Consider the following 16,217-nt stretch of genomic DNA (forward strand, 5'->3'; position numbering starts at 1 on the left):
TTTATAATAAGCTATAGAACTGTAACAGGTGCTCTCAAATACAGGTTTCTGATAACTTTGGAGACTGTGAAATTGGAATAAAGAAAAATATATAGGACTCATAAAGAGCTGAAATATTAATGAATACAAGCAAAACAAAAACTAAATGGACTAAACTTAGAAACTGAAGCAATCCTTTTAACCTTGTTTGGAATATTGCTGATCCTTGTTTTGTTTTTCAGAGTAAAGGAAACTTATTTTGAACTATTTTCAGACTTTAATAATTAAGTAAGGTATACACTCCTGTGATTAAAATTTAGAACATGTTTGTTTCTCTCTGCCTGGTTCCTCTAGAATTTGGAGAATATCTGTGAGTATTCTTAACTTATGGCAATGTAGTTGTTTGCATCAATGCAATAAAAATCCATTTTTCTTTTGCAAAAGGACACAATTGGAAAAATGGTTATTTTACCAAGGCTTTGACTGGAAGGGTATGTTTCCCTTTAAGGAGTAAAGCTTGACTTACAGAGCTGATAAAAGACCCGTGGGAGACTGGCCTCATACCCTCATCTACACAGTCCCTGTACAGGGTTCTTGACTTGTTGTCAGTAAGAATGTCACTTTCTAACAGGTCCAGGAGCTCCAAGTTTATTGTGGGACCTTAAGAGGAAAGGGTTACCCAACTCACAGCTGTTTGAGGATAAAAACTCATGGTTGGGCTTGGCTTTAAAAGGTCTTATCTGAGATTCCTTGTGGAACAAACTTCCATCAAAGCCAATCCAGAAGGCCTATATAGAAATAATTATTCTTAATACACTTTATGCAAATAATCAGGCCAAGCATAAAACTAAAGTCTATTTTGCAAAGAGCTCAGTCCTATTATACATTGTTTTTTTAACAAAAATGAGGACTGAAAAGAGAGAAATTATGTACCAAAACTTGCATATATTTTAATTAAATTCTAAACTCACTACTTGTTTTTAAGTTTATGCCTACATTTTAAACTTACCCTGCTTGTTCCTATGAAACTACCAGCAATCTCTGGCTGCAGCTCAGAAAGAACAAGAGGGATAGGTAATGTAGAAATCCAGGTCAATATTCTATTTCTGAGCAATTATCCTGCAAATCCTGCCAGGTGATGGGAATAAATAGGATGCTCATCACTTGGAGATTTCCTTTTGGGAAAGTAAAACCAAGGGAGCTAACCAAAACCAAGCACCAGGCACCCAAATCCCAGCAAGCATAACTATAGCCGCCAGGTATCTGAGTGTGTCACAAGACATCCTTTCCTTTCCTTTGTTGGAGTAGGACTCAGTTCCACAGTTTCAACTTAGCATTTGGCTTATGATAAAGGGTCCATGCAACCCCCTGCCCCCCACCCTGAGACACATTTTTGTCCCAGACTCAATTTCAAGCTTCAGGTCAAAGCCGTAGGAAAGAAAACTGGATATAAGGGATCCAGAGGCAGATGACAACAGAAGTTAAAAGGCACAGCACAGAGAAGCATAGCGGATTCCTACTGATTAAAACAACCCCAAGCTTTCTGTTTCATAGATAAAAGCCATGTTAGTATCCGTGGCATAAATGAGGTCTAGGGAACTCCGAGGCTACTGACAGTAGGTGGAAAAGAGACCTAGGTGAGAACAGATAATTCCTATTCTCTAGGCACCCTGCTTCATGGGTTCAAGCCGCTTTGGCACTCATGGCAGGACCTGCCAGTGTCACCAGAAATGGGGGATGCAAGGACGGAAGAGGGAAAAGAAGATACTCTTCCCTCTCTCCCTCATGTACCTTGGGTATCTGCTAGGAAGAGAAGCAAACTGGGGACATCTGATCCCCTCTTGCTAGATGGGTAGCCATTCATCTTCAGTCTGTATCCCTTTAAAGTGCATCCGGAACCCCTGGGACTTCTTTGAAAAAAATAAACACCTTCTTTTTTCCTCTCTCCTCCTAGGTTCTGTCTTCACTGATAGGTAATTGTGTATCTGTACTATGAGACACTCCCCTCAGATGCATCCTCCAAACTGGAAAGAGTTAATTTCTCAAAACTTAAACTGGTTGGCTTAGGACTGGGCTCAGGGGAAGGGAACCCAGAAGCCCAACATGCCAGCAAAAGGGTACAAGTTTTTTTTAACCAGTCAGGTTTTTGGCTTCCCTCTCCCTATGCAAACTGGTAAAAGGCCTCATAATTTTTGAGCTGTCCTTATGTCCCCTTTGTTTTGTTTTGATACGTGTTTTCTAATAATCTGGTTTGTCTGTTCTTGCCTTCAGGCCATCAAACTCCAAACAGTCATGCAACCAGAGCCTCTGACAATGGTCCCTTCTGCTGGGAACCTGTTGGTAGGCCTCTGGGGAAGCTCTGACTGTGGTTTCCCCAAAACAGTGCCCTCTGTCGGCAGGAAGCAGTTAAGATAGGTCTTCATCCTTACCCTTATTCGAAGGGCAGTTAGATGTACTTCTGTGCAGGCGGGAAAGAGACAGCCAGGTGGGAGGGTGTCCCTGGAGAAACTCTAACCAGCCTTCCCACTGAGGTGGAGCCTCGGGAAGTTAATGACATTTGCAGCAGGGAGGAGCCTGGTTTCTCCTCTTCCTGGGTGGAACCCGGGATCCAAGCTTTGGGCGGGAAGCACTCTAGCAGGAACACTGGCCTAGCGAGAGTCCCTGTTTTTCCCCTTTCTTCCTTTCCACCCAATAAAACTCTGTCTCACTCACCACCCAAATTGTCTGCGAGCCTGAATTTTCGTGATGGAACAAAGAACCCCACCTTTAGCTGAATTAAGGGAAAGTCCTGTAACAGGAACACATTATGTATATGCTTTCTTAGTATCCTAAAGGTATTCTGCAGAGCAGGACAACACAGTTGGGACTCTGTTTTTCTTTGTTTTTAAATAAATACTTAAGCAACCTAGTTTTGTTTGGTCCTCAGAGTAACTCTACTAAATCTATTACCATTAAGTAAAATGGTTTTATTTGCTGAACTATGATTATCTAAGCTTGGTGCTATCAATTGAATTTGCTGAGGAAAAATTCACCAAATACATTTTACTCCATTATATTAACTTTTATTCCCCCTGGCCACCTGTTTCATAAGCCTGGACATATTTTCCTTTTCTTTACTTAAGACATGTATCAAATCTACATCTATTTAAGTGAATTTGAATTATGAAGTTTGTTAGATCAAAGATACATTACTTTGTTTTGATAGCATTTTAATGTTATATGAAAAAGGAGGAGAGTAGCATTGATTTTTGTTTTTCCTAATTCTTTTATGGGCAAATGCTTATGAGATGAAAAGGGCCTCTCATCAAAACCCATGACTATTTCACTTCAGAAAGAAACACAGTCATCTCCAGGTTACCAAAGGTCAGCAAAATCTACTCCAAAAATGCAAGTTACATGGTAAGCTAACAATGAAAAAGCCACAGCAACAAGGGTGGTGAGTTAGGGGGAGGGTGACAACAGAAACAGTATCAATGAACACAACTTCAATGGACGTGGAATTGACATTTTCTGGACTGCTAACCCTCACCCTCTTCCTCCACATCAGGAGCCCTGCAAATAGGATGCTGGGATCCACCTAGAATTTAATAAATATATCTATAAATTAATCTATTCTATTTATTGTCTACCTTGCTCCCAAGAAGAATGAGAGTGTTCAACATTTTTTTTTTAATTAGAGGAAATTAGAAGGAAGAACAAATGAGGGTAGAAAAAAATGAAATCGGGGTGAGGTTAGTACATGAAATGCACACAATAAGATCTGTTGAATTTGATATAGATGTACCCCAATATTGTTTTCAAACCTCTCTAGAAGCCAAAGAAAAATGGGAAACACAATACATTATGCGATTCAATTGTCCACAAGATAAAGTCCAACTAGTTACTCAGTACTTTTCTGGGTACTGAGTGCTGAGAAAAATGTTTCCCATAAGACTTTGTGTAAAGTTACATATAATGTTCTCTCATAAGCAGAACTCATAAGTAAAGATAAAAAGTTTAAAAGGTTGTTTCTTATAATATGCTAATGATATGACGAATCATTGGAAGGAAATCTACTCATCACAAATAGGTGTCTCCTCTAGCCATTTTCACACAATGAGAGCGGAATGTACTGAGGTAGGAGAATAGGGTCTGGAGGCAGGAAGTTAAAGCCATTTCACTCTGACTTCCTAGAACTAAATTGAAAGGAAAACCCTAACTTTCCACAGCTAAGTAACAAAAGGACCAGAGGCTACTCCCTTTGCAAACCCCCTTATTTTCTGTGCAGCAGATGGAAAATTGAAAGTACCTCTGAGTGGTGGCTTTTTGCTTTTGCTCTTCTGCGTGGCCAACTTTTCTGCACAGCACCGGTTCTGCACGGCCACCTTTTCTGTGCAGCAGATGGGAAATTAAAAGTATCTCTGATTGGTTTGCTTTTTGCAATTGCATTTTGCAACCAATCTGGCATCTGTAATCCCAGCACTTTGGGAGGCTGCCGCTGGTGGATCACGAGGTCAGGAGATGGAGACCATCCTGGCTAATGTGGTGAAACCTCGTCTCTACTAAAAATACAAAAAATTAGCCAGGCGCTGTGGCATCTGCCTGTAGTCTTAGCAACTCGGGAGGCTGAGGCAGGACAATCACTTGAACCTGGGAGGTGGAAGTTGCAGTGAGCCAAGACTGCACCACTGCACTCCAGCCTGGGTGACAGAGGGAGAATCCATCTCAAAAAGAAAAGAAAAGAAAAAACAAAAACAAAAACAAAAAAGAGTGTAACATTGTAACTTCACTTCAGCCTCTAATCGGTTGTGGTTTGCAACCCATCAGACTGATTGCAGGCCAAGTCTTCTTTTGCATAGAACTGCAACTTTGTAACTTCATTTTGTAACTTCACTTCAGATGTTTGCATAGGAGTGTGACCTTTGTAACTTCACTTCAGCCTCTAATTGTTTGCTTTCCACAACCAGGCTGATTGCAGACCACCACTTCATTTACACGGGGTGAACAGCAAGTGGCCAATGGGAAACCTCTAGGGTGTATTTGGACCCAGAAAGATTCTGTATTCGGGTCCTTGAGTGGTTGCTCCACTGGTCCCACCCTGTGGAGTGTCTTTCATTTTCAAAAAATCTCTGCTTTTGTTGCTCCATTCTTTTCTTGCTTTATTTGTGCATTTTTGTCCAATTCTTTGTTCAAAACACCAAGAATCTGAAAACCCTCCCCTGGTAACAGTACTAGATAGTATATTCTTTTCCCACAGAGCTCTTGGAAATATTAAACAGCTCTACTTCAGAGAACACCCCTTGAGAAGTTTTAGAAATGTAGATATTCCCATGCTGCTTGTTATATTTGAACACCTGTATTTTAACATAGAGTCACACTGCAGTCAAGTTTAACAACCAGTTTTTACTGGTGAGGGTGCTGATGATGAAACATTTATTATATATGCATAACTTTTTGGTATAGCACTTTATTTAAACTTGTAAAACCAATGGGATTTGTTAAAAGTGACTTAATTATATACTAAAAATAAATAATTGACTGATTTTACTGGATAGTTAAATCAAACCTCACCCATGATTATAAACATATCAGATAATGTGAGTTTACCTTTGTATACTAAACCTGCTTCACAAGGAGAGTTTGTAAATGTCATCTAGCCATGATTAACTAGGTCAGTATGTCATTCCTGCTCTTGAAAAGCAGTCATGTACTCTCCTTTTCTATTGAATCTGTATATGTGTCTCCACAGGATTGAGAATCCATTGTATTTACTCGATATTCAGTTACAATATTACCAGGTCAACTAGTCCCTTTTCACATTGCTAAAGAAAGGAGGTTTAATTGAATCACAGTTCCACAAGGCTGGGGAGGGCTCAGGAAACCTACAATCACGGTGGAAGGCAAAGGGGAAGCAGGCACATATTCACATGGCCAGCAGGAGAGAGAGAGAGCAAATTGGGAAGTGCTACACACTTTCAAACAACCAGATCTCATGACAGCTCACTCACTATCAGGAGAACAGCAAGGGAAAATCCACCCCCATGATCCAGTCACTTCCCACTAGGTCGCTTCCTTGACACACGGGAATTGCAATTCAAGATGGGATTTGGGTGGGGACACAGAGCCAAATCATATCATTCTGCTGTTGGTCCATCCCAAATCTCATGTCCTTCTCACATTTCAAAACACAATCATGCTTTCCCAACAGCCCACCAAAGTCTTAACTCATTCCTGCATTAATCCAAAAGTCTTTTGTTCCCAAAAGTCTCATCTGAGATAACACAAGTTCCTTCTGCCTATTAGCCTGTAAAATCAAAAGCAAGTTAGTTACTTCCAAGATACAATGAGGGTACAGGCATTGGTTAAATGCTCCCATTCCAAATGAGATAAATGGGCCAAAACAAAGGGGCTACATGCCCCATGCAAGTCTGGAACTCAACAGGGCAGTCATTAAATTTTAAAGCTTGAAAATAATCTTGTTTGACTCCATGTCTCACATCCAGGCCATGCTGATGCAAAAGCTGGGATCCTAAGGCCTTTGGCAGCTCCCCCACTATGGCTCTGAAGGGTACCACCCCTGTGGCTGCTTTCATGAACTGGTATTGAGTGTCTCTGTCTTTTCCAGCTGCATGCTGCAAGCTGTTGGTGGATTTACCATTCTGGGGTCTGGAGGACAATAGCCTTCTTCTCACAGCTCCAATAGGCAGTGCCCCAGTAAGGACTCTGTGTGGGGGCTCCAATCCCACATTTTCCCTCTTTATTGCCCTAGTAAAAGTTCACCATGAGGTCTCTGCCCCTGCAACAGACTTCTGCCTGGCCACCTAGGTGTTTCCCTACATCTTCTGAAATCTAGGTGGAGGTTCCTAAACCTTTGCCTTCTGTGCACCCCCAGGCCCAACACCACATGGAAGCCACCAAAGCATGGGGCTTGAACCCTCTGATGCAGTGGCCCAAGCTTTACCTTGGCCCCTTTAGCCATGACTGAAGCTGGAATGCTGAGACACAGGTTGCTGTGGCCCAAGGCTGCACAGAGCAGCTGGGCCCACAGCCTGGCCCATAAAACCATTTTTCCCTCGTAGTCCTCTGGGCATGTGATGGGAAGAGCTGCCTCGAAGAGCTCTGAAATGCCCTGGAGACATTTTTCCCATTGTGTTGGCTATTAACATTTGGCTCCTTGTTACTTATGCACATTTCTGCAGGTGGCTTGGGCTTAAATTCCTCCCCCCCAAAATAGTTTCTTTTTTCTATACATGGTCAGGCTGCAAGTTTTCCAAACGTTTACACTCTGCTTCCCTTTTAAACATAAGTTCCAATTTTAGACCATCTCTGTGAACACATAGGACTGTACGTTTTCAGAAAAAGCCCGGTCACATCTCTAATGCCTTACTGCTTAGAAATGTCTTCGACCAGATACCTTAAATCATCTCTCTCAAGTGCAAATTTCCACAGATCTCTAGGGTGGGGGCAAAATGCCACCAGTCTCTTTGCTAAAGTATAGCAAGAGTGAACTTTGCTCCAGTTCCCAATAAGCTCCTCATCTCCATTTGAGACCACCTCAGCCTGGATTTCATTGTCCATATCACTATCAGCATTTGATCAAAAACATTCAGCAAGTCTACAGGAAGTTCCAAACTTTCCCACATCTTCCTGTCTTCTTCTGAGCCCTCTAAACTGTTCCAACCTCTGCCTGTTTCCCAGTTCCAAAGTTGCTTCCACATTTTCAGGTATCTTTATAGCAATGTCCCACTTCTCTACATACCAACTTTCTGTGTTAGTCCATTTTCACACTGCTATAAAGAACTACCTGAGATTGGATAATTTATAAAGAAAAGAGATTTAATTGACTCACAGCTCTGCATTGCTTGGGAGTCCTCAGGAAACTTATAATCATGGTAGAAGGCAAAGGGGAAGCAAGACGTGTCTTACATAGCAGCAGGAGAGAGAGCGAGGTGCGAGACTGCCAAACACTTTTAGACCATCAGATCTCATGAGAACTCACTATCACGAGAACAGCATGAAGGAAAACACCCCCATGATTCAGTCACCTCCTACTAGGTCCCTCTCTCAACATGTCGGGATTACAATTTGAGATGAGATTTAGGTGGGGACACAGAGCCAAACCATATCAACAGGGTCCTGTAGTTTTGGGGGTGACTCAAGATAAACTACCTCTGTACTTTTGTTCTCTTGCTCTTCTCCTTTTACAGTCTATCTCTTCTGCAGTTGCACATTCTGGACAGTATGATACATTTCTAATGAGCCTGTTTCCTCCTTTTGAGTTTCTCTGTCTGTGCCTTTGGTCTCTGTAATACTGTCATTACTTTCCTTGCCCTTCTGGTGCCTCCTGTTCTGGTACTAGTGCCTCTCTCTGTGGCTACGTTCCCCCAAGAAACAAGCAGCAAGGTATTGTTCCCACTCAGTGATCTGACCCTTTCCATACTGTTCTCCACCTTCCCTATTCAGACCTTTTCCATGTTTGAATTGCAGGGGATTCTCAATCATGGATAATTCAGTGTTCATAGAAAAAGCCTATGAATTCTTAGTGAGAGCCACCAAATCTCTTCCTGGGAGTTGGGAATCCAAACAACTCTCTACACATGATACTTTCATTTTCCATTCATTTGAAGTGCTCAGGTCACAGCTATGAGATAAAATCAAAGTGGCTCTCTGTCCCTAGGGCTGTGCAGACATCAGACAAACTTTGATACTTGACATCAACTTGATGTGTGTTATACATGCATCTTAATACTTTCAAAGAGTGAATGCTCAAAAACACACGGGAATAGGGAAGATGCTTTATATAAATTCCTCTCAAGGTAGCAGATTTTTCACCCGCCAGCCTGGCAAATAAATTAACATCAGTAATAGTAGAGTCAGGAAAAACATTCCCACATCTGAGGTTACCTGAGGTCAACTTTATTTTCCCCAAATAACCATGACAACAAATATACGTATTTCCAAAGCTTCTCTCTCCATCAGTACTGGCATACCTGTTTTCATTTTAAGATGAAGACAGCCTTCGAAGTAAACAAGTCTTTTAAACAAACTGAGAAAACAAGTGAATTAATATGACACTTTCTCAAACATATAGGAAAATATTTTTCTATTTTTACTATTATCATTAATCACATATATTTGTCATCCACTACACAGAATATCCTACTACTATGTGCTGTCAGAGAGGGAAAAAAATTGGACCACTCTCTCCCATTATTTCAATTCTGAGCAAAGTTTTCATAAGGAATGTCACTCCTTGAGAGCCAGACAGGCACGTTTGCTTAGTGCCTTCACATGCTCAGATCACATGGGTACTAATTAGTTTATTGAAAGGAGAGTAATTCTATGGATGGAGCTATCTTCCCTCAAATAATTAATTGCAGCTCCCAAAAGTGTCTGGCACCCCAAGGAGCAGCTCACCTCCTTGGAAAAGCTATATCGTATAATCAGGATAAAACCTTATAAAACAATTTAGAGGGATATGGTAATATCATCCCATCAAAAAGCTGAAACCTGCACAAAGAGACAATTCAACCCATTATTTTCTTTTGTAAACAACATCCAAAATTCGTAGCTGAGGTAAAGGATGAAATTTTTTTTTAAAGTGATTATTATGAACAACATCTAACACACATGGTATATTTTCTTGTAATTGCTTTACAAATAGTAACCTCATTCTTACAAATTCCCATTAGGTTGGTGCATCATTATTTTCTCCATTTTACAGATTAGGAAAGCAAGGCAGAGGTTAAGTAAATTATCTACATAATCATCGAAGAATACACTATTAATGAATGGCAATGTTAAATTTGAACTTGGCTGGATTCTGAATCTGTGCTCTTGACCACTACCATATAATACTAACTTCAAAACAGAAAATCAGAAATACCTACTAGATATAACCTGCACCTGATTCTGAACATAACATTGTGTTACTAATGTCTTTTGATCTTTACAGAATTAGGAAGTATCAGTGATTAGTAGTAATAATAGTTCAGTTTATTGAGTGCCTACTAGAGTTGAGTATTTCGTATACATCATGTATTACTCCAATTATAATTTTTCAAAGTGGTCAGGTGATCTACCCATGTACACATAAAGAACTTTAGAAAAGTTGAAACACTTGCTTAAGGTTTCATAGTCACTGTATTTACAGCCAGGTGGCTCTGAATTCAAATATTATATATATTCCACTCTAGGATCCTTTTTACTTAAGCAAATTTTATAAAAAGAATAATTAAGGTCCATAGTTCACCTAAGTCTTAATAGAATGCCACCAGTATCTATTTTTCAAATGGATTTGGAAATAAACATGATGCAACAAGAAGAAAGAGAATGAAAAACAGGGTGAAGATTTTAGTTTAAAGTTGCATTAAACTTTAGTCAGCATGGAACAGTGAAATGGGTAAATAGAAATTGACCCACCACTCTCATTTTATCTAATGTCACATTTCTTTAAGAATAACTTCCAGATGCTGGCCTGGGTGTACATTTTCCTATTTCTGGCAAAGAAAACTCTTGCATTTTGCCAGCCTGAGAGAACAGAATCTATTAATCAGTGCCAGCCATGATTTGTTCTTTCAACATAAAAGCACAGTCCTTTTTCTTGGAATGTTTTTAGTTGCAATAATCTTTTACTTCACTTCTGTCTACAAGTGTGCACATTCATATTTATGCCATGAACTGTGTTAGAGTTTAGCACTGGTTTTTTAATTTAGTGAGTCAATTATCATAAATCAGTACATAGCAGATTCCTTCGGGAACGTAAGTAGTCCTTCTAAGGCAGTGGTTCTCAAACTTTGGTCTGTATTAGAACACCTAGAATGTTTGTGAAGCACACAGAGGCAGGCTTGTTGAAGTAAAATAGGGCCCAAATCTTTGTATTTTTATCAAGTTGCTAAGTGCTTCAGACACCAAGAAAAGTTTGAGAACCGCTGTTCTACGACTTATTTCAGCTCTTCCCATTTTTGGGTCTCAAAGCTGAGCTCATGAAGCTTTCCAGATTCAAGTCTTCCTTTCTTACCTAGGTCCTGAGCTGGAACGATGGAATCTAGCAGAAGTTGCCTTTCCAGATTCAAACGGCTTCTATGTGAGTTCCTGAATCATAACTTCTTCCTGTCCATGTGCCCAGTTCCCAGGCTAGGCTAAGGTTCTTACTTCTTTAGTACTCTCTTCAGTAACCTAGACATGAGGCTTTTCTCCACAATGCGAGCTCTGCAACCAGAGTTACACTTTCTTCTGGCTAGTCTCTCTGCCTGGTTCCTGAAATATATCCACTGAAATTTATTTCCATCTGAATACCTTTTAAGCAATTTATCCATTCCACTTGATTTTTGAATGCCACCTGTAAAGCAGTGTTCTCAAACTTTGGTTGATGTGGTAAGTAACCTTTAAGATGACCTCAATGATTCACTTGTTTTAGAAGTCACACCTTTGTGTAATTCCTTCATATTGAGTGTGAACTGGACTTGTGGAGTCAGTTCTGATTTATAGAAAATGACAGCAGTACTAAGATGTTAGGAAGTTATGAAAAGACCATGGCTTTCACCTTGGCAATATTTCTCATCCAATCTCTTGAATTACTTACTCAAAAACATATGACAGCCATGTCAAGAGGCAGGCCTATGGAAAAGCCCACCTGGTAAGAGACCAACTGCCGTAAACCAAGTAGTTGAAAAAAATAAGATAAGCCTTACCTGAGCATAGAAATCTCATTGGACTACTTAGGCAGGAATCAGGATTAACAGGTTCAATAAGGAATACTCACTTCTTGCTCTCATTTTATGAAAGGACATGTCTACACAAGCAAACCGTATTAAAAAGTACAGCAACTACCCACAAAACAAATTGTTAGAAGAAATAAAACTTTTGTGTGTGTAAAAATTTGCTATATGCATCTACTGAGCCATCTTTTGGCTTGTTCTAAAATATATGTTGCCAACTTCCTGATTTCAGGAGAAGGGATTTGTTATTTACGGGCAAGGGATAGAGAATAAGAATAGTGAAACTGTCTTCTAAGGAGTTATTTAATTTTGTTGGAGCTTATGTGTCTTGGAACAAGAGAGTAATGTTAAAACCATAACCACACAGAAAGGGCTTTAGAATAAAAATAAAGTATAACATATTGGGAAGTATAATGATTGAGCCACAAATTTACCAAAACAGAAAAAGAAGTTCCAACATTGTGATGATATTACACATTGCCATCTTGGTTATTCCAAAAAAAATTCTTGCATTTTTGCATTTTTTTCTGTGAATACAACTTTTTAATCAAGTAATCTCCAACTCCCCCAAAAACTTTGTAATTTTTAGGCTAATATATTTTAATTTTTGTACTCTATTACAGGTTTATTTCTAAAATGTCTTTTTCTAACATTCAGATATTTAGCAATAGGGCAGTCTTTTCAGTATAAGACTAGTCAGATTTATATTATTATTTATTTGTGTCTATATATGTAAAAGGAAATTTTATGTGCATAAAATTTCCCATTTCCTGACAATCTCATGTGTCTTCTTGAGGACTGACAGCAGAACAATTTCTTCTAGGTCCTCCCTAATTCTGAATATCAGGATACTTCAAGAATTCATCTACTTCAATATTGCAGATGTATCCAAGATGAAATTGTGACAAAATCCTTTTTTGAGTCAGTGAACAACTTCAAAAGAGAAAATGAGAAATTTTGAAAACTGTTTTAACTTATTTAATTCACAAGAGCACTGTGTAGCACCTATAACCTCACCAGTCTTGTAAAAGTTGGTTTGTAAGTCCATAGTGGTTAGTTCTACATTCAGCGAGTGGCTTAAAATTTATGCCAATGGGATGATGCCATGAACACTGTTTTATAATCCATTTTCTTTTTTTTAAATGGAAATATGCAATATCTTTCCATGTCACTAAATATATGGTATTTTATCACCTAGATGTCTTATTATTTATTTAAGCAATATCCTGGTATTGAACATTTAGGTTGCTATTTTTCCATGTGATAAACTCCAGTAAACATTCTCATTGATACATTTTTGTGCATATCCAAGATTATCTCTTTAAAGTAAATTCCTGGAAGTGGAATTGGTAAGCCAAATACAGGAACATTGCTAAGGCATTGACATGTATTGCCAAATGACCTTCCAGGAAGCTTTTGAACACTTTAGATTCCCACCAGCAGTGGAAAAGAATGCTCATTTTCTCATACATTCACCAGTGGTGTTTTTTTTGTTGAGGCTGTATGTTTGTTTGTTTGTTTTAATTTTGGTTAATTTTATAGTAGCAAATGTAACCTAATTGCTATTTGTTAGTATCTCTTGGATTTTCTGCGATGCTAAGCACTTAAACATTTCTAGTGGCTTCATAATATTATTGGGATGTATCAAAATGACTCAATAATTCCCCATTTTTTACTTTGAATTGCTTCTAAATAATGAATAATGTGGCAAGTAACCTTTTGCATATGACTAAAATTTATGTTTCTGTTTATCTTCAGGGTGGATTCACACAAAAGAAATTAGTAGAAGAAAGAATTTTGCTAAATTTCTTTTCAGAAAGACTTTACTCATTTATCAGCAATAAATAGTATCTGTTATGAGTTAAATTGTGTCTCCAAAAAGATATGCTGGGGTAATAGCCACTGGGAACTTTGAATGTAATCTTATTTGGAAATAGGGTCTTTGCTAATATTATCAAATTAAGATGAAGTCATATCAAATTAAGTATGACTGTCCTTATAAGAGGAGAAGAGACACAGACACAGAGGAAAGACTGCCATATGAAGATGGGGCAAGGATTGGAGTTACATTGCTACAAGCCAAGGAATGCCTGGCACTACCAGAAGCTGGAGGAGACAAGGGAGGATTAATGTCCTTTAGGAGCTTCAAAGGAAATATGTCCCTCTCAACAACTTGACTTCTAATGTTGTGATGGTTAATACTGAGTGTCAACTTGATTGGGTTGAAGGATACAAAGTATTGATCCTGGGTGTGTCTGTGCCAAAGGAGATTAACATTTGAGTCAGTGGGATGGAAAGGCAGACGCACCCTTAATCTGGGTGGGCAAAATCTAAGCTGCTAGCATGACTAGAATATAAGCAGGCAGAAAAATGTGAAAAAGAGAGACTGGCCTAGACTCCCAGCCTACGTCTTTATCCTGTGCTAGATGCATCCTGTCCTTGAACATCAGACTCTTAAGTCCTTCAATTTTGGAACTCACACTGGCTCTCCTTGCTCCTCAGCCTGCAGACAGCCTATTGTGGGACCTTGTGATCATGTGAGTTAATACTTAATGAACTTAATAATAAATTAATATTTATATATTAATACATAATGGAATATATATTCCATTAGTTCTATCCCTCTACAGAATCCTATTAGAATGTCAAACTCTTAAAAACATTGTTTTTTTTTTTTTTTTTTAGAGACGGTCTTGTTCTGTCACCCAGGTTTGAATGCAGTGGCATGATCATAACTAAATGCAACCTCAAACTCCCCAGCTCAAGAGATCCTTCCACTTCAGCCTCCCGAGTAGCTAGGACTACAGTCATGCGCCACCACAGCCAGCTAAATTTATTTTTTTGTAAAGACAGTCTTTCAATGTTGCCCAGACTGGTCTCAAACTCTTTGTCCCAAGTGACTCTCCTGCCTCGACCTCCCAAAGTGTTGGGATTACAGGCGTGAGCCACCATGTTAAATGAGAAAATAAATTTACGCAGTTTTAAGCCATCCAGCTTGTGATACGTTGTTATGGGAGCCCTAGGAAATTAATACACCATTATTTTCAAAGTGCTGCTAATTTATAAGACAACATTGGTTTTTAATTGTTCTGATTTTCAAAAATATCTGCTGACTTAAAATATGAAGATTGTATTCAAGTGTTCTGATTTTCATTGAAGTTAAAAATTTGTCTTAAATACTAGACATTTACTTCTATCAATTTTCTCACAATGTTTTTATACCTTTTTCTCAGTTATTGTAACATTAGTGTTCTTTTTAATCAATATATTATGAATGTCACTTTTTATCCATCACATTAATTACAAATGTTTTTCTCTAGTTTTTGGTTTCCTATAACTTACTTCCTAAATATATAAAATAAACAGAAATAATTTTATGTGTGTAGAATATTTTTACTTAAGAAGAATAGATTGTCAAATTACAACCACCATCACCACCACCACCAACATGAGATTCTCTTGGAAATATATCAAAATATTATCAAAAGTCTTAAAAGTCTGTCTTTTAGAAGCAAAAAGGAATAAAAACAGTGCATATGTAGTTTTAATGTTATGAATGACAGGTTAGGGATAGAGAATATTTTTATTCGTCACTGAATATTACATTTTTAGGGAGAATATTTATTTCTCTCTAATGAGTAACATGAAGGCAAATTGTTACCAAATATGGCAGAATGCAAAATTATGTAATTAAAAATAAGGTCTAGAAAAACTAGCATTATTTTTAAGGAAACAGAAAGAAGGAAAGAAGAAAAGATAGAAAAGAAGAAAGAGAGAGAGGAAGGAAGAGAGAAAAAAGCTGTGGAAAACTTTGAAGGAACAAAAGCAATCAGAATATTTTTAGATAACTAAATAATGATGTCTTGTGAAGAAGGTAAAACATGTAAGATCTGCAGGAGTAATGGCTCTGTCAAAATCCCCATCCATGATAAAAGCAAGAGGCCATGATGATAATCACTGTGGGAACCTCTGAGATAAGAATTTATCTTCAAGAAGAGCAATAAAATGCTGACAAGCACAATTTAATTATGATGGAGTAGGTCCTGAATGACTGTAAATCTACCACTGGGGTCCGTATGAAAATTAAGATGCAGGAGTATATGTTTCAATTTATAGGATTCTTTTTTGGACTGCTTATAAATCAAAAAAATAGCAGAAATTTCAAGGACAAAACACATGCTCTACTCATTTTCTGAGGCCTTCTTGGGTGGGTCAGGTTTTTTCCTTGATTCTATTAAGTCAGTAAGCCAGAATTCTAGTGCTTATCTTTTTCTATTCCTTGTTATGTCCATAATCACAAGGTCTAATAAATACACATAATGAAATGATATGGTATGAACTCCTAAGATTAAATTGCAAAATCTATGAATAAGAAATCAAGTAGGATCTTACAAACTTACTTAATAAATAGACCTTAACATGGAAAATGATACATAAACAACAACTGAGCTTGTTCAGTGGTTATGAATAACCATAAGAATGTTTATTCTGTTATATTACAAATTTACTTAACTTTTGCAATCATAAGAAGTAGGCTTT

The 16,217-nt window shown here is 38.2% G+C and overlaps 1 long non-coding RNA gene across 1 annotated transcript in view; it reads left to right on the top strand.

The window, feature by feature from the left end:
- The window catches only part of LINC00506 (long intergenic non-protein coding RNA 506), a 67,790-nt gene extending 54,076 nt beyond the window's left edge, over positions 1-13,714 (top strand). The window contains exons 2-3 of the long non-coding RNA NR_104153.1: positions 10,983-11,044; positions 13,437-13,714. This is a non-coding gene — a long non-coding RNA (long intergenic non-protein coding RNA 506). The remainder of the gene's footprint in view (positions 1-10,982; positions 11,045-13,436) is intronic.
- The last annotated feature ends 2,503 nt before the right edge of the window (positions 13,715-16,217 follow it).

This window comes from Homo sapiens, chromosome 3 (genome assembly GCF_000001405.40).
Source record: "Homo sapiens chromosome 3, GRCh38.p14 Primary Assembly".
NCBI lineage: Eukaryota > Metazoa > Chordata > Mammalia > Primates > Hominidae > Homo > Homo sapiens.